General features: G+C 62.5%; 2 protein-coding genes across 11 annotated transcripts, besides 4 other annotated features; one reads left to right on the top strand and one right to left on the bottom strand.

Annotated features, from left to right (window-relative positions):
• Window positions 1-358: 358 nt before the first annotated feature.
• NOC4L (nucleolar complex associated 4 homolog) lies at window positions 359-8,370 on the bottom strand. Of its 9 annotated transcripts, none has more exons than NR_183058.1 (15): window positions 8,222-8,370; window positions 7,853-7,973; window positions 7,162-7,268; window positions 5,439-5,546; window positions 5,045-5,194; window positions 4,848-4,947; window positions 4,721-4,755; window positions 4,168-4,218; window positions 3,932-4,032; window positions 1,786-1,846; window positions 1,459-1,569; window positions 1,183-1,343; window positions 1,007-1,089; window positions 630-743; window positions 359-545 (listed from the first exon to the last, which is right to left on the bottom strand). NR_183058.1 is itself a non-coding variant. In NM_024078.3 (15 exons), exons 1-15 carry the CDS (start codon window positions 8,336-8,338, stop codon window positions 426-428), a joined length of 1,551 nt encoding a protein of 516 aa, NP_076983.1. In that variant the 5' UTR covers window positions 8,339-8,370; the 3' UTR covers window positions 359-425. The 9 variants fall into 9 exon arrangements, 6 of the variants coding, with proteins under 6 accessions (NP_076983.1, NP_001401620.1, NP_001401619.1 ...); NM_024078.3 differs by having other exon boundaries at window positions 3,932-4,043; NM_001414691.1 differs by having other exon boundaries at window positions 3,932-3,983.
• Window positions 8,288-8,587: an enhancer, noted in NCBI's record as "active region_7375". NCBI's record gives its function as "activates an Ori minimal core promoter by ATAC-STARR-seq in GM12878 lymphoblastoid cells {active_cell/tissue: GM12878}" and the evidence as "EXISTENCE:reporter gene assay evidence [ECO:0000049][PMID:35858748]".
• On the top strand, window positions 8,508-16,233 carry DDX51 (DEAD-box helicase 51). 2 transcript variants are annotated; one of them, NM_175066.4, is made up of 15 exons: window positions 8,508-8,834; window positions 8,918-9,132; window positions 9,949-10,099; window positions 10,405-10,550; window positions 10,637-10,708; window positions 10,871-10,977; window positions 11,221-11,329; window positions 11,407-11,552; window positions 11,807-11,996; window positions 12,092-12,207; window positions 12,288-12,404; window positions 12,628-12,729; window positions 12,903-12,966; window positions 13,058-13,192; window positions 13,529-16,233. In NM_175066.4, the coding sequence occupies exons 1-15, from the start codon at window positions 8,531-8,533 to the stop codon at window positions 13,553-13,555; spliced, it is 2,001 nt and encodes a 666-aa protein (NP_778236.2). In that variant the 5' UTR covers window positions 8,508-8,530; the 3' UTR covers window positions 13,556-16,233. The 2 variants fall into 2 exon arrangements, with proteins under 2 accessions (NP_778236.2, XP_011536558.1); XM_011538256.2 differs by lacking the exons at window positions 12,628-12,729; window positions 12,903-12,966; window positions 13,058-13,192; window positions 13,529-16,233 and having other exon boundaries at window positions 12,272-12,363.
• Window positions 8,598-8,647: a silencer, noted in NCBI's record as "silent region_5113". NCBI's record gives its function as "represses an Ori minimal core promoter by ATAC-STARR-seq in GM12878 lymphoblastoid cells {active_cell/tissue: GM12878}" and the evidence as "EXISTENCE:reporter gene assay evidence [ECO:0000049][PMID:35858748]".
• Window positions 8,718-8,917: a silencer, noted in NCBI's record as "silent region_5112". NCBI's record gives its function as "represses an Ori minimal core promoter by ATAC-STARR-seq in GM12878 lymphoblastoid cells {active_cell/tissue: GM12878}" and the evidence as "EXISTENCE:reporter gene assay evidence [ECO:0000049][PMID:35858748]".
• Window positions 9,517-10,422: an enhancer, noted in NCBI's record as "H3K4me1 hESC enhancer chr12:132626950-132627855 (GRCh37/hg19 assembly coordinates)". NCBI's record gives its function as "activates a minimal SCP1, AML or CMV promoter by ChIP-STARR-seq in naive H9 embryonic stem cells {active_cell/tissue: H9 hESC(naive)}" and the evidence as "EXISTENCE:reporter gene assay evidence [ECO:0000049][PMID:30033119]".
• Window positions 16,234-16,780: the final 547 nt, after the last annotated feature.

The following is a 16,780-nucleotide window of genomic DNA, read 5'->3' as shown; positions in this document are numbered from 1 at the left end:
ACACACCATACCCGTCTACACCACCATACACCTCCCACCACAACTGACCCAGGCAGAGAGAACCCCCCCAACCCTGCTCCCTCCCAGGTGTCTGGAGTGTAACCTCAGCAGAGGCCCCGAGCTCTGCCAACAGGGAGGTCACTGGGGCCAGGGGATGAGGGAGGCTGGGTGACCGGTGACACTGGTGGGCCGGAGGCCCTGGGAAAGACCACGCCTCAGGTTCCCCACCATCCCCTCCCAGGCTGTGGAGTCGGCAGGGGCCTCGCTTTGCCATGTGCCTGGTGGGCTCAGGCAGATGTGAGGCCCTCGGCCTGGCAGAGGCATCCAGCCGCCCCAGTCCACACTCCCTGAGCCTTTCTCCTGCAAAAACATTTATTCACAGGTGGGCTGGGGTCAGCTGAGATTTATTCACAGGTGGGCCAGGGTCAGCTGAGCGTGAAGTGCTGGGCACAGAGTTCACCCGGCCGTCCCAGCAGGCCCTGGGCTGGGATAAACTCCAGTGGCACCGGCTCGGGCCCCTTCTTCTTCAGGTCCCGCTCAAAGATCTGCAAAGCACAAAGCACGGCGGCTCTCAGGCTTGGCTCAGCGCCCCGTGGCCCAGACCCTCGCACCCTGGCCCAGTTCCGCACCTCGTAGGCCGTGAGCTCCAGCAGTGGCGCGATGCTGACCTCAGGCATGGACAGGGCCTGGTTGATGACGCTGGCGGCTTTGGACACCTCAGGGTGGTAGTGGCGCTGGAGGGCCTGGGGCAGTAGGGCCGTTAAGAGGCAGCTGCCCCAGGCCCCCGCCCTGTGCCCCCAGCCATGGCCTCCCTGTGCTCCCAACCAGAGTGGGCGGGGTCGGGACGGAGCCACGTGAGAAGGCCAAGCACCCAGCACCCACAAACCCAGGTGGCCAGCTGGGGACGCAACATGAGGCTATGCGGGAGGTGGCACGGGGAGCTGGGCTTTCTGAGGGGCCGAAGGATGGCTCGGGAGGCCCCAGGGTGTGGCAGCAGCGCCCTCACCTGAAGCTCCCACAGGGAGCTCTCCAAGGCCCGGCTCTGGGCTGGGTCCTCCTCTCCAGGGTCGTAGGGGTCGGCGTCCAACTCTAGGAATGAGACGTGGGCCCTTGTCTGCCGTCCACAGCACCAGGCACCCCCGCCCCAGCTCCAGCCCAGCCTCCGAGGGCCCCGCAACTCACCAGGGCCGTGTGGACGGTGCACGAGGACCCGGCAGGCAGGGTGCCGGCGCAGCAGGTTACAGATGAAAGGCAGGACCATGAGCAGGGCCTCAGGGGGAGCCGTCAGGGCCAGGCGGGCCAGCCGCTTGGCGAAGGCGGCCACCAGGTAGGCGGGGAGGTGGCTGGGCAGGGCAGTGGTTGTGAGACAGGGCCCGGACTGCTAGCCCCCACCACCCTCCCCTGGCCCCAGGCTGCAGCCGCACAGAGCAGGGCAGAGCCAGGTGCCCTGGTACTCACGAGGAGGACAGGAAGAGGTCAGCCAGGTGGAAGAAGCGGGCGCGGTACTTGACGTGAAAGACAGAGGGGTCCAAGAGGCCGTAGAGCTTCCGGTAGAAGTCAGGGTACTCCCTGCGGGCCGGGGGGAAGGAGCAGCGGATGGAGCAGGGCCCGGGAACTGAGGCCTCCAAGGCCAGGGTCTCACTCGGCGCCCCTTCCTCCCGCCCAGGGACTCCAACACCATGGCCTGTGAGGAAAGCGGGGACCCCGTGGGGCAGGGTGGGAAGGGGACAGAGGAGCAGGGCTGGGCAGACTGGGAAGAAGACCTGCACCCCTGGTGACACTCACAGGTTGTGTTTGTGAATCAAGATGAACAGCCCGTTCAAGGCCAAGAGGCTGAGGGCCCCCCCTGCAGACAGACAGACACAGGCTGGAGCTGCAGTGACCTCGCTCCCACCCTACCCCCTGCCCACACTGAGTGTAAGTCTGTGGAGTGTGGCCTCTGCCCCTGCTGTCCCCTCCCACAGCCCCCACGGACACAAAGCTGGAGACCACATGCAGGGCAGGGGAGTGGGGGGTGGAGGCAGTGGGATCGGGGAAGAGGTGCTGCGGGGTGGGGGTTGGGGGTGTGAGCGAGGCGGCGGCACTCACCGAGGGGATTAGGGGTGTGGTGTGAGCGAGGCGGCGGCACTCACCGAGGGGATTAGGGGTGTGGTATGAGCGAGGCGGCGGCACTCACCGAGGGGATTAGGGGTGTGGTATGAGCGAGGCGGCGGCACTCACCGAGGGGATTAGGGGTGTGGTATGAGCGAGGCGGCGGCACTCACCGAGGGGATTAGGGGTGTGGTGTGAGCGAGGCGGCGGCACTCACCGAGGGGATTAGGGGTGTGGTGTGAGCGAGGCGGCGGCACTCACCGAGGGGATTAGGGGTGTGGTGTGAGCGAGGCGGCGGCACTCACCGAGGGGATTAGGGGTGTGGTGTGAGCGAGGCGGCGGCACTCACCGAGGGGATTAGGGGTGTGGTGTGAGCGAGGCGGCGGCACTCACCGAGGGGATTAGGGGTGTGGTGTGAGCGAGGCGGCGGCACTCACCGAGGGGATTAGGGGTGTGGTGTGAGCGAGGCGGCGGCACTCACCGAGGGGATTAGGGGTGTGGTGTGAGCGAGGCGGCGGCACTCACCGAGGGGATTAGGGGTGTGGTGTGAGCGAGGCGGCGGCACTCACCGAGGGGATTAGGGGTGTGGTGTGAGCGAGGCGGCGGCACTCACCGAGGGGATTAGGGGTGTGGTGTGAGCGAGGCGGCGGCACTCACCGAGGGGATTAGGGGTGTGGTGTGAGCGAGGCGGCGGCACTCACCGAGGGGATTAGGGGTGTGAGCGAGGCGGCGGCACTCACCGAGGGGATTAGGGGTGTGGTGTGAGTGAGGCGGCGGCACTCACCGAGGGGATTAGGGGTGTGGTATGAGCGAGGCGGCGGCACTCACCGAGGGGATTAGGGGTGTGGTAGGAGTGAGGCGGCGGCACTCACCGAGGGGATTAGGGGTGTGGTGTGAGCGAGGCGGCGGCACTCACCGAGGGGATTAGGGGTGTGGTGTGAGCGAGGCGGCGGCACTCACCGAGGGGATTAGGGGTGTGGTGTGAGCGAGGCGGCCGCACTCACCGAGGGGATTAGGGGTGTGGTGTGAGTGAGGCGGCCGCACTCACCGAGGGGATTAGGGGTGTGGTAGGAGTGAGGCGGCGGCACTCACCGAGGGGATTAGGGGTGTGGTGTGAGCGAGGCGGCGGCACTCACCGAGGGGATTAGGGGTGTGGTGTGAGTGAGGCGGCGGCACTCACCGAGGGGATTAGGGGTGTGGTGTGAGTGAGGCGGCGGCACTCACCGAGGGGATTAGGGGTGTGGTGTGAGCGAGGCGGCGGCACTCACCGAGGGGATTAGGGGTGTGGTGTGAGCGAGGCGGCGGCACTCACCGAGGGGATTAGGGGTGTGGTGTGAGCGAGGCGGCGGCACTCACCGAGGGGATTAGGGGTGTGGTGTGAGCGAGGCGGCGGCACTCACCGAGGGGATTAGGGGTGTGGTGTGAGCGAGGCGGCGGCACTCACCGAGGGGATTAGGGGTGTGGTGTGAGCGAGGCGGCGGCACTCACCGAGGGGATTAGGGGTGTGGTGTGAGCGAGGCGGCGGCACTCACCGAGGGGATTAGGGGTGTGGTGTGAGCGAGGCGGCGGCACTCACCGAGGGGATTAGGGGTGTGGTAGGAGTGAGGCGGCGGCACTCACCGAGGGGATTAGGGGTGTGGTAGGAGTGAGGCGGCGGCACTCACCGAGGGGATTAGGGGTGTGGTGTGAGTGAGGCGGCGGCACTCACCGAGGGGATTAGGGGTGTGGTAGGAGTGAGGCGGCGGCACTCACCGAGGGGATTAGGGGTGTGGTAGGAGTGAGGCGGCGGCACTCACCGAGGGGATTAGGGGTGTGGTGTGAGCGAGGCGGCGGCACTCACCGAGGTCGCAGGCGCGGGTGAGGAAGTCGATCATGAGCGTGGGCTGCGCCAGCTGCGGCAGGATGGCGTCATGCACAATCAGCAGCACCTTCTTGTAGAGGCTGAGGGGCAGCTGGGCGGGGGCCGGCAGGTGGGGGTGAGGGGCGGGTGGGCGGGGGCCGGCGGGTCGGGGTGAGGCCTCCGCCCTGGGGGAGACCCGGATGCCGCCCCCGCCCCCTCCCCGGCCTGGCCCCTACCTTGTGCTTGAGGAAGCTGAGCCACATGGCCTGGAAAACCCTCCTGTGCTCCTGCAACGGGGTCCAGACTGCACTCGCCGCCCTCCCCACCCCAGACCAGAGCCCGAGCAGCTGCCAGGGCACCCCGAAGCCCAGCCTGAGCCAACACAAGCCTGCTCTCCACTTTTCTGACCCTGCCTTCCTTCTTCCTGTCCCCATTCAAGTCAGGTACGCCTTGCCCTCGAGGCTGGAGTCTCAGAACAGCCAAGAAAGCAGCTTTGGCAAGACCATGGCCAAGAGGGGGGCTGCGCCCAAAACAGCCCACGGGGCCCACAGGTGGCACCAGAGGCTTGACTCCAAGAGGCGGCGGTGGCCTCTGACCCAAGGGAGGGTCCCGAGTTCACAGGTCTCGTCACCTCCCACACTTCGAGTGACCTGGTGGCCGTGCAAGCTGCCACCTGTACCCTGGGAGTTTCCTCTGGTGAGGAAGGCGGCAGCCTCCATGGGGTCTCACATGCACCCCACACACACCCCCAAACCCGGGAGGGTGCCCGGCTCTCCAGAAGCAACTCACCTTCAGGTGAGCAACCTTCCAGGTGTCCCACAGCTCTGCAGGGAAAGCGAGGGCAAAGGTCACCTGACCCGCAGGGGAGGCAGACCAAGGCTCAGCCCTGTCCGCCCCTGACTCTCAGCACACTCACCCGCCCGCTTCACATAGAAGCTGGAGACGGTGGGCTCCCGGCGGGGCAGGCTCACGGCAGACAGCAGCGTGAAGGCATTGTTCCAAAAGGCGGGGGGCACCTGCGGAGCCTGGCCTGAGTGCCTGGACGCCGCCCCCCAGTCCCTGCCTCCCTGGGAGGCAACAGCATGATGCTGGCGACAGGACCCCATCACCCACCTCGGGGTGCTGGCCAGTGACCCGGGCCACGGCATCCACGGCTGCCTGCATGGTGTGGTAGCGGGTGTCGTCGTAGTCCAGGTACTCCCGGAACTGGGACAGGAGCAGGCTCTGGTCCTCCTCAGGAGACAGCAGGCCTCCCACCACCAACTAGGGGCAAGGACCAGTGAGCAGCCCTGCCCGGCCCAGCATACGCCAGCAAGGTCCAGGCAGGCAGCCCTGCCCCATCGAGCCCCCCAGGCAGACTCCTCCTGGTTGGGTGGGCCACAGGAGCCACAGGAGTGTCCCAGCCAACAGCCAGGCTCAGCTCAGCAGGCCCCGCCCCCACTACGGGGCCATCCTGGGATCTGGCCAGCCAGCCAGGCCCTCTGGGAGTCCCCAGCAAGGCCCTCACCTTGAAGAGCTCTCGGGGGAACAGGTAGTTGCCTTCCCACTTGGACTTCTCCAGGGGGTGCGCTCCTTCCAGCTGCACGAACTTCAGGAGTGCGCTGAGGGCCAGCTCCTGGGAAGGGGGCAGTGCAGGGTGGCTGTGATGCCCTCACCCCACGGATGGGCCCAGAGCTCAGCCCAGTCAGGGAGCCCCTCCCATCTAGGCCCAGAGCTGAGAAAAGGGCGGCCGGGCCTTCTCTTGCTCCACACGCCACCAGATGCCACTCTGGGCTTCCGTGTCCCACCCATGACGTAGAGATGACAAGATCTCTAGTTAAAGAGATCCAGTGCTCACGACAGAGTCTGGCGGGGGAAGGGTACACAGCCCAGGTCTGCTTTATGGGCCACCTGACTGCTCTCTCGTCACCTGTGTCACGGGAATGCCACCATAACCCTTGGGAACAGCTGTGAAAACACAGGCGTGTGATGCCAGCATGGTGCCCAACTCAGACCCAGGCTTGGAAGCTCTCATCTCGGGGTGGCAAACTCAGTGCTTTCAGGGCCCAGGCAAATGACACCACAAAGCAAAAGAGCCTCGTGCGGGATGACAGGAGCACACGGCTGTCTCAGAGCTGTCTCTGACTCTCCCTCCAGCCAATCGCAGCCATGAACAAACTTAGACCCCGTGTTGACAGAACTGATTATTTCTTTCTGAGAAGGTGGAAACTGGTTATTTTCACGTGGTATCTCCCCAACATTTAAAAGTCTGCAGCTCGGCTATAATTATAGACAGACGTGTTGGCGAGGATGTGGAGTATGGAACTCTCAAATGCTGCCAGGGGGAGGGTAAGATAGCGCAGCTACTATGGAAAACAGTCTTGTAGTTCCTCAGAACATTAAAAACACAGCTGCTGTGTGGCCTTGTAATTCCACTGATAAGGCATATTCAAGCAAAAGAAACATCACACAAGAGTTTGTACGCGAACGTTCACAGTCCGCTGTTCGTAACAGCCAAAGGTGGAAACGACGCAAATGCCCAGCAACCTACGAGCGGCTGAACGATACGTGCTGTGCTATACGACGCGCTGCTACTCAGCCACAAAGAGAACGAACTTCGAACACGCCGATGAGTGGAAGAAGCCACATACCGTATGATCCCCCTTATGAGGAGCGTCTAAAAAAAGCAAACCCATTGATCCAGGAAGTAACCACTGATCCAGGAGTGGCTGCCTGGGGCTGGGGGTGGAAAGGGGCGGGATATGGAAGCGATGGTAACTGGTACAGGATTTCTTTTCGGGGCGATAAAGATGTTCTGGGATAGCGGCAACCACTGCACAACACAGTAACAGATGCTAACTTCTCAGCTTTAAACGGTAAACTGTGCCTCAGTTATTCCTCACTACAGATTTTAAGAAAGCTCATAATGCATTCCCATGGCTGCAGACCACAGTGTGATCTGAGCAAACACATCTGTGGACTGGCACGAGGCTTGGTGTGCGTGCTCTATGCAAACACAGAGATCCCCGTGGATGCCACTGGAAATGAACACGGATTCTGCGTCTTCAATATTCACTACAGGACTCGATAGCCATGTTTCTGAATGGGACTGAACACCCACAGGGTGATGCTCCCATGAAGGAAGCAGCTTTGCCTGGACAATTGTGGGAGCCCCAGACCTCTGCTTTGTGGATAACCTGGGAGTTGGGGTGCAGGGGATGGACAAGGATGAGGCCAGCCCAATGACCCACCTTGACCTGAAAGGAGGGGTGGCCCAGGAGCTCTCCCAAGCGATTGCAGCAGCTGTGATAGCGGTGTCTCATCCACACCTTGTACTTCCGTGTGGCTCCCTGGGACCCTGCAGACAGGTTAGGGTGGTCAGCCCACGTGAGGCCCACATACGCCACCCTGGGCCCAGCCCAAAATCTCAGGCCTGGCTCCACCCTCCCATTGTCTTCTACTCAGCCTCCGCAGGTGGAAACAGGTCGCTAAGGCCCCCAGACCTGTGCTGAGACCAGCACATTCCCTGAGCCCTGCAAACAGGAAGAGCACCTCCTACCCCAGGACTGCCCCAGCCAAGCTGCCAGGAGCAGGATCCACATCCCCTCTCTTTACTCCAAGACCTGACGTCCCCAGGATGGGGACATAAAGGAAGCTCCGAGTTTAAGCGACCGTGTCAGGATCAGTCAACATCAAATTACAAAAGGGGTGCAAAGCACACAAAAAGTCGTACCTTGTCCAGTGTTCATCTACACTCAGCTGCAGGGCACCCATGTCACCCCTGCCCCAACGCCACCATCCATCTTCCACGGTGGGCTTGGTGCGTCCTCCCACCAGCCTGCACGGCCTGTGCCAGGGTTGGGGGCGCTCATCCCATGGTGACAAAGCCTCCCTCCGACCCACGGAAAGAGAAGAGCAGCCCCGGGGCCCTCCAGGGCTCACCTGTCATGACCATCTCCTCAGAGGGCAGCTGGCCCACAAACAGCTCTCCCCGCTCCAGCAAGGCCCCGAAAAGACGGCTGCACGTGCGGACTGCTTCCTGGATCTCCTCCTGGTCCTCAGACTGCAGGAGAGGCGGCGGCAGGGTGCCCGGCCGCCAACTGTCACCTTCGCCCCTGCCTAGGCTGCCCCCAACCCGTTCCCTTCCCCCTCGGGACGCCAGCCCCGTCACCCCCGACCCGTGACCCACACGCCTCCCACCCTGACCCCCCAACGCCGTCTCGGAACCTCCTGGGGACCTGCCGCCGCAGCCCCCCATTCAAGTCCCGCTCCCGTGCCGCGACTCCGGCCCTGCGACGCCGCCAGGCCCACCTGCAGCACGGCCAGGATGTCGAACACGGCGTTGGCCTCACTGCGGCTCGCCAGCACCGCCTCCAGCCGGCGGCCCAGAGCCCGGCGAACTCCCGCGGCGCCCGGCTCCCGCTCCATGCCGCCCCCAACACGGAACAACGCGGATTCTCAGCCGCCGGCGCTCCCGTGACGTCACCACTGCGCGTAGAACCCGACGTCATCTCTACGCGCCGTACCCCAACCCCATCTTTTGCGCGGAGCCCGAGTCGCAGGCGTGCCGCCGACGTCATCGCAGCGCGCCACGCCCGAGTCCCAGGCGTGCGGCTGGCCATGGCGCTGTTCTACGTCGCGCGGTACCCGGGCCCCGATGCGGCAGCTGCGGCGGGGCCGGAGGGCGCGGAGGCCGGGGCGCACGGCAGGGCCCGCGCGCTGCTCGAGCGGCTGCAGAGCCGGGCCCGCGAACGGCAGCAGCAGCGGGAGCCCGCGCAGACCGAGGCGGCTGCATCGACCGAGCCGGCGACCAGGAGGCGACGGCGGCCCCGGCGGCGGCGGCGGGTGAACGACGCGGAGCCGGGGAGCCCGGAGGCGCCGCAGGGAAAGCGACGGAAGGCGGACGGCGAGGACGCGGGCGCAGGTGGGCCGCGGGGCGAGCGGGCTCCCTCTGGGGCGCCGGCGACTCGGTGCTGACGCGCTGCCGGGTGGGTGTCTGCCTCGCAGAAAGCAACGAGGAGGCGCCAGGGGAGCCCAGCGCAGGGAGCAGCGAGGAGGCGCCAGGGGAGCCCAGCGCAGGGAGCAGCGAGGAGGCGCCGGGGGAGCGCAGCACCAGCGCCAGCGCCGAGGCGGCCCCAGATGGACCGGCCCTGGAGGAGGCGGCCGGACCCCTGGTCCCCGGCCTGGTGCTGGGGGGGTTCGGGAAGAGGAAGGCGCCGAAGGTGAGCCTCGGCGGGCGGGAGGGTGGTCGGCGTGAGAGGGTAGGCTGCGCGGATTCTTAAGTGCGGCGGTCGCCCCGGAAGATTTCGTTCAGCGAATGTTCCCGGGTCACAGCCGCGCCTCGCTGCCAGGTCTGCAGTTTCATCGCCTAGGGGTCTGGATCCTGCACGTGCAGAGCTCCCGTTTCCTCTGCTAGGCTTGCCCCTGTCCTCCCGCCGCGCCGCGCCAGTTCTGCAAGATGTGTTTGCGTGAACGTGCGGGGTTTCCTGCTGTGCGCTCACCGCCTCAGGAGTAAGTCAGAGGCCGTTCTGCAAGCTCCTGACCGTTGGTGTTTTTGCTTAGCACGTGTGGTTTTCGGTAAAGAGATTTCCGGCGAGACAGGTGAAGAAAGCGAGAAGTTTGACAGAGTGCTCGGGCACCTTAGGTAGGGCAGGTGGAGGAGGTTCTCTTTGAGTTGGGATGCAAAGACTTGAAGCCAGGTCAAGGTTGGGGGTTGGGGGTGCCAGGCAGAGGCCTCGAGGCAGGGACGCCGGCGTGGCTGGGGCAGGCGAGCGCCAGGTCACAGGACCTCCTGGCTGCGGGAGGGTGGGTGCCACTGTGGGTTGATGGGAGGCTACAGAGTGAGTTTGCTCAGGGAGTGGCATCTGCTTTTACTGTTTAACTTCTGAAGGCTGTATGGAAAGCGCATCCTGGGGCTGAGAAGGAGCTGAAGACGACAGAGGTTTCCCCAGCCTCCCTCCCCTAGCTTTTTCCACCGTGGGCTTCTGCGCGAGAGCCTGGAAAGCGCTCACCTGGCCTCTCTTTCTTTTTGATGGCAGGTCCAGCCTTTCCTGCCAAGGTGGCTGGCTGAGCCTAACTGTGTCAGAAGGAATGTCACCGAAGACCTGGTTCCTATCGAGGACATCCCTGACGTCCATCCTGACCTGCAGAAGCAGCTGCGGGCACACGGCATCTCGTCCTACTTTCCAGGTGCCCCAGCCCCGGGCAGGCAGCTGAGGGAACACCTCCCTGGGCACCCACACACAAGGCTGTGAGTGGCCGTGGGTCAGGCGTCCCTGCCACATCGGTGCCAAGTGTGGTCTCAGCACTCTCAAGCTCATGGTTCCCACTTGGGTCTCCTGAGGCTGGCGTTCCTCTGGGCCTTGGTGCCATCCCTCTGGGGAGCGGTTCCCAGGCCTCCAGCAGAGCAGCCCAGCCCAGAGGTCACAGGCAGGGAAGCGGCAGGCCTAGGCCTAGGCGTAAACACGACTTCTCTCTCGCCTTTCCTCATCCAGTCCAGGCAGCTGTGATTCCTGCCCTCCTGGAGAGCGCAGCCTGTGGGTTTCTGGTGGGCAGAGGTGGCTACCGGCCTAGCGACCTCTGTGTTTCTGCCCCAACAGGCAGTGGGAAGACACTGGCCTTCGTCATCCCTGTGGTGCAGGTCTGTGTGAGGGTCCCCTTTCTCTACAGCGGGTGTGCAGAGGACAGGTAACAGCCTTGCTGACGCAGGCGCTCCTTCCCCCTCAGGCCCTGCTTTCGAGAGTGGTCTGCCACATCCGTGCCCTGGTTGTGCTGCCCACCAAGGAGCTGGCCCAGCAGGTATGTGGACCCTAGACCTGGAGCGTGGCACCGCCCGCCTCAGCTTCCCTGCTGAGTGCACAGCGATCAGCCCCTGGGGGACCCAGATTAGATCTGGGGTCCTTTTTGCTGCAGTAGGTGGACACCAGCTACCTCCAGGCCAGTGACAGACTTCTCCTGCAGGTGAGCAAAGTTTTCAACATCTACACAGATGCCACACCTCTGAGAGTCTCCCTGGTTACGGGACAGAAGTCTCTGGCCAAGGAGCAGGAGAGCCTCGTCCAGAAAACGTAGGTTGTGTCAGGGTGCGGGTTTTTCAGGGGGTCCCTGCTCAGCCCTGCAGGTGGCCTGAGGCACCGTGGGAGCAGAGGAGGGGCCACCATCTTTAACCACCTGTTCCCGTGAAGAGGAGGAGCTCCCACCGGCCCCCTTCCCATGTGGGGTGGAGTCGGGGCTGTGGGGTGAGGCAGCGTCTTGCTATCCGGAAGCCCTTGAGAAAGCTTCCTTCTCTCGAGCTGCTCTCTGGTCTGTAGAGCTGATGGGTACCGCTGCTTGGCTGACATCGTGGTAGCCACCCCCGGCCGCCTGGTGGACCACATCGACCAGACCCCAGGATTCAGCCTCCAGCAGCTCCGCTTCCTGGTAGGTCCCCGCCCCAGGGGCCTGGGCTTTGAGCTCAGGGCCGCGCCACCCAGTCCCGGGCTCCCTGTCTCCTGCAGATTATCGACGAGGCTGACCGGATGATTGACAGCATGCATCAGTCCTGGCTGCCGCGGGTGGTGGCGGCCGCCTTCCAGAGCGAGGACCCCGCGGACCCCTGTGCCCTGCTCCAGCGAAGGCAGGCCCAGGCTGTGACAGCCGCCAGGTATCCAGCAGCACGCCCAGGTGCTGGCCTCCCCTGAGCAGAGTCCTCTGCACACAGCTCTCCTTCCTTAATGCCCAGAGATAAGGGTGGCTTGAGCTCTGGTGCACAGAACCGCATCGTACTGTCACGTGAGCTGGACCCACCTTGCTCCTGGTCTGCGGCAGTCTCTACAGTGCGTAGCATGAGGAATCCTGTTCCCTGGAGGTTCGGGGCAGCCACTGGTAGGGTGCCAGCAACACCCCCTTCTCTTCCAGCACCTGCTGTCCCCAGATGCCCCTGCAGAAGCTGCTCTTCTCAGCTACTCTGACCCAGAACCCTGAAAAGCTGCAGCAGCTGGGCCTCCACCAGCCCCGGCTTTTCTCCACAGGGCTAGCACACAGGGGCCTGGAAGATACAGATGGGGACGGGGATTCGGGGAAGTATGCCTTTCCTGTTGGGCTCACGGTGAGTGGGATACCGTGTGGGCAGAGGGTTGCACTGGGAACCTGGGGCCCCTAACCAACCCTCACCTCCACCCCGACCCCCTGCCGTCCCTGTAGCACCACTACGTGCCCTGCAGCCTCAGCTCTAAGCCGCTGGTCGTCCTGCACCTGGTCCTGGAGATGGGCTTCTCGAGGGTTCTCTGCTTCACTAACTCCCGAGAGAACTCCCACAGGTGAGGCCCCGGCTGGGCGGGGGTGGCAGAGGTGGCCTCTGGTCCCAGCATCACTTGGCCGCAGCCTTCTCTCTGCCTAGGCTCTTCCTGCTGGTGCAAGCTTTTGGGGGTGTGGACGTGGCTGAGTTCTCCTCGCGCTACGGGCCTGGCCAGAGGAGGATGATCCTGAAGCAGTTTGAACAGGGGAAGATCCAGCTGTGAGTTCCTGGGCAGGGGCAAGGCCTCTGTGGGGTGGGGGTGCCCACTCCAGGGTCAGCCTGGGGCTCTCTAAAAGGTGCTTCCTTCTGCAAATTGGCTTCCTGTGCCCCAGCCCCATGGCAGCCAGTTCCCAGAAAGGCCTGAGCTGCCCCCCGCAGGGCCGGTGCTGCCACGGCCCCTGCTCCTGGCACGTCGGGCCCACAATGCTGCGTGTCCCGGCAGGCTCATCAGCACGGACGCCACCGCGCGAGGCATCGACGTGCAGGGTGTGGAGCTGGTGGTGAACTACGACGCCCCCCAGTACCTGAGAACCTACGTGCACCGGTGAGCGCTGGCGCAGCGGCCACTGGGGGGTCTGGGGCTTTGTGAGCTCCTGGGCGTTGATGTGGGACCGTCTTGACTGGCGTGGGGTGGGGTTGGTGTGGAGAGAAGCTGTCGTTCCGTCAGACTCTTGAAGGCTCAGGGGCCAGTCTGGAGATAGCTGCGTTTGATTCCAGGGTTGGGAGGACAGCTCGCGCTGGGAAAACTGGACAGGCCTTCACACTGCTCCTGAAAGTGCAGGTGAGGCTGCGAGGGTCTTGGGAGTTTCTGCTGTTGGTGGGTGTTAAGGGGCTGGCCCAAGAACCCCCTTCCACCATGAGCTTCTCTCCAGGAGAGGAGATTCCTCCGAATGCTAACTGAAGCTGGGGCACCTGAGTTGCAGCGGCACGAGCTCTCCAGCAAGCTGCTGCAGCCGCTGGTTCCTCGGTACGAGGAGGCCCTGTCCCAGCTGGAGGAGTCTGTCAAGGTAAGGGCACCAGAGTCCGGCATGAAACCCTCTGGGGAGGGCGTTTGCAGAGAGGGCGTCGTCACCACACGTGGAGAAAAGAGGGAAAAAGAGGAAAGCGAGAAGGCAACAGAGGGTCACACAGGTTGTCCTCGAGCTTCTGGCCCAAGGGCGGGGAGCCCCTGGGCACCAGTGGTGGAAACACGTGGCACCAGGGAGGGCTGTCAGCGGGGCCAGGGCCTGGTTTCTGCATGCACAGGGCTTCCTGTCCTCAGGGTTCCAGGGGCAGAGCCCGGGGCCCCACAGACGATGAGGGGACAGAGTGTGTGGTGCTGAGCCCTCCCCTTTCCTCCACAGGAAGAGCGCAAGCAGAGGGCGGCCTAGGCTGGGGCTCAGAGGGCCGGAGGGACTGAACGCTCACCACCCTGACCCTCCTTCCAGAGCAGTGCTGATCACTGGATCCTGTATGTGAGGAAAGGAATCCCCCAGTGGACACAGCCTTCCTCCCCAAGCACGTGGTCTCTGCGCCAGGCAGCCCGGGCGTCAGAGCTCAAGCACCTGCCCCGACTGGAGACTTCAGGGCTTGTCACTTTCAGAGTGTGGAGGTCAGGATGGCTGCGGGCAATGAAGCCTTAGTAAAACGGTGAAAAGTACTCCCAGACGGACGCGGGCACCCGTCATGCTTTTGCTGAGAGTTGGGGGCATTAACCTTGAGCTAATGTTAAAAATCAAGCTCTTGGCCAGGCATGGTGGCTCATGCCTGTAATTCCAGCACTTTGGGAGGCCAAGGCGGGTGGATCACCTGAGGTCACGAGTTCGAGACCAGCCTGACCAACATGGAGAAACCCTGTCTCTACTAAAAATACAAAATTAGCCAGGCGTGGTGGTGCATGCCTGTAATCCAGCTACTTGGGAGGCTGAGGCAGGAAAATGGCTTGAACCCGGGAGGTGGAGGTTGCAGTGAGCTGAGATTGCGCCACTGCACTCCAGCCTGGGCAACAAGAGCAAAACTCCGTCTCAAAAAAAAAAATTGCCGGGCGCGGTGGCAAATGCCTGTAATCCCAGCACTTTGGGAGGCCGAGGCAGGTGGATCACAAGGTCAGGAGATAGAGACCATCATTGCTAACATGGTGAAACCCCGTCTCTACTAAAAATACAAAAAAAAAAAAAAAACAACTAGCCGGGCGTGGTGGCGGGCACCTATAGTCCCAGCTACTCGGGAGGCTGAGGCAGGAGAATGGCGTGAACCCGGGAGGCGGAGCTTGCAGTGAGCGGAGACTGCGCCACTGCACTCCAGCCTGGGCAACAGAGTGAGACTCCGTCAAAAAAAAAGCTCTCCTCCCCAGATTTGTGAACCTTGTGACTGTTCAGTGGACACCTCACATATTGCTGGTGGGAAGGTCACGTGGAGACAGCTGGGCAAAGCCTTGGGGCGTTAAACACAGAGTCACTCATGACCCAGCACTTCCTCTCCTATGCACCTTGTACACCCCAGATCAATGAAACCTACATCCACACAGAAACGTACACAAATCTCTCAGCAGCACTGTTCACAGTAGCCAAAAACTAGAAACCACATGTCCGTCAGCTGATGAATGGAGAATAAAACGTGGGAAATCCACACCAGGAGAGAAAAAGGAGTGAGGCACCAGCATAGGCACCCCGTGGATGAACCCGGAACCTGACGCTAACTGAAGGAAGGCTCCGGCTATAGGGAGTGTCCCAGGCACAGCCAGAGATTGAAGGGTGCCGGGGCCGGGAGTTGGTGGGGGTTGGGGCTGGGGACACAGTGGCCAGTGTGTGGGTTTGTTTTGGGGATGATGAAAATGTTCTTAGGTTGTGTGTGGTGATGGCTGCTCACCTCTATAAACCTTTTACTAAAAACCATGGACTGGGTGGATACAGTGTGTGAATTCTCTCAGTCCAGTGCTTTGTTTGAAAAAGGTGGATGATGCCAACATCACTAACCGCCAGGGAGACGCAGGCCACGGCCACACCCGGCTCACTGGAGTTGTGAGGATGGAAACACCAGCCCACCCCACTCAGTTCAGACCTCAGCTTAGATGCAAAGAATGTCTGGGATGGGGACTGGCAGCTGATTAGAGATGCAACCACTGAACCTGTGGACTGTGTTCAAACAAATGCCAGCAGAACACAAAAGGCGACTGTTACAGGAGGCAGAAAGAAATGATTTAGGTAGACGGGGTAAAGCCAGTCCCCAGCAGAAAATTTGCCTTTTAACAAAAAGCAGCTCAAAAATAGCTCCCTTTCTAACCTCGGGGTTCAAAATCACTTCTCACGACAAGCAGCCAGAAAGAGCAGACTGTGAATCACAGATGAGACAGCTCGGGCACAGGAGTGCGGGGGGTGTCTCCTGGGTGATCACCAAACTTCACACTTCCACAATGGGCCCCAGTAAAACAGTGGACCCTAATAAGCACATTCCCGTCCCCTTAGGTGCACTAAGGGAAGCTAAAAGCAGACTGAGGGGTGCCTGTAACCCCAAGAAGATGTCTGGGAGCAGACCCAGAGACCCTCGCAGAAAAGTGTCACAGAGCAGCACAGACTGAGTCTGACAGAAACTCTCTATACAAATAGCACACCTTGTCCCAGCTAAAACCCTGGGCCCTGGGAGGACAAGACATCCCTCCTCTAACCCCTCGTCACTAGCCCATTTGTAAAAACCTTGACAGGCCGGGCACGGTGGCTCACACCTGTAATCCCAGCACTTTGGGAGGCTGAGGCAGGCGCATCACCTGAGGTCAGGAGATCGAGACCATCCTGGCCAACATGGTGAAACCCCATCTCTACTAAAAATACAAAACTTAGCTGAGCGTGGTGGCGTGTGCCTGGAGTCCCAACTACTCAAGAGGCTGAGGCAGGAGAATCACTTGCCCGGGAGGTGGAGGTTGCAGTGGGCCAAGATCAGCCCACTGCACTGCAGCCTGGCGACAGAAAAAAAAGAAACCTTGACATCTTTACTACAACTTAGCAACCCGCTCAGGCCCCCTCTGCAACGGAGAGCTCTTCTTCCTTTTTGCTTATTAAACTTCTGCTCCAAACTCACTGTGTGTGTGTGTGTCTGTCTGCGACCTCGATCTCCTTGGCCATGAGACCAAGAACCTTGGTATTTACCCCAGACCACAAGGCTGCTTCACGATGATTGCCATTTATCGGGGATTGATAGTGGCTCAGTGCTGCTGGGTTCGCAGACATAAGATGTGGGCCTGGCCACACACTCGGGAGGTGGGAGGAGCGGGCACCGTGGGCACACTCGGGGAGGTGGGAGGAGCGGGCACCGTGGGCACACTCGGGAGGTGGGAGGAGCGGGCACCGTGGGCACACTCGGGAGGTGGGAGGTAGCGGGCACCGTGGGCACACTCGGGGAGGTGGGAGGAGCGGGCACCGTGGGCACACTCGGGAGGTGGGAGGAGCGGGCACCGGGGCACACTCGGGAGGTGGGAGGAGCGGGCACCGTGGGCACACTCGGGGAGGTGGGAGGAGCGGGCACCGTGGGCACACTCGGGGAGGTGGGAGGAGCGGGCACCGTGGGCACACTCGGGGAGGTGGGAGGAGCGGGCACCGTGGGCACACTCGGGGAGGTGGGAG

This window comes from Homo sapiens, chromosome 12 (assembly GCF_000001405.40).
Source record: "Homo sapiens chromosome 12, GRCh38.p14 Primary Assembly".
NCBI classification, from domain to species: Eukaryota; Metazoa; Chordata; class Mammalia; order Primates; family Hominidae; genus Homo; species Homo sapiens.
The sequence above is the reverse complement of the archived record's forward strand: the minus strand, read 5'-3'. Positions and strand labels throughout refer to the sequence as shown.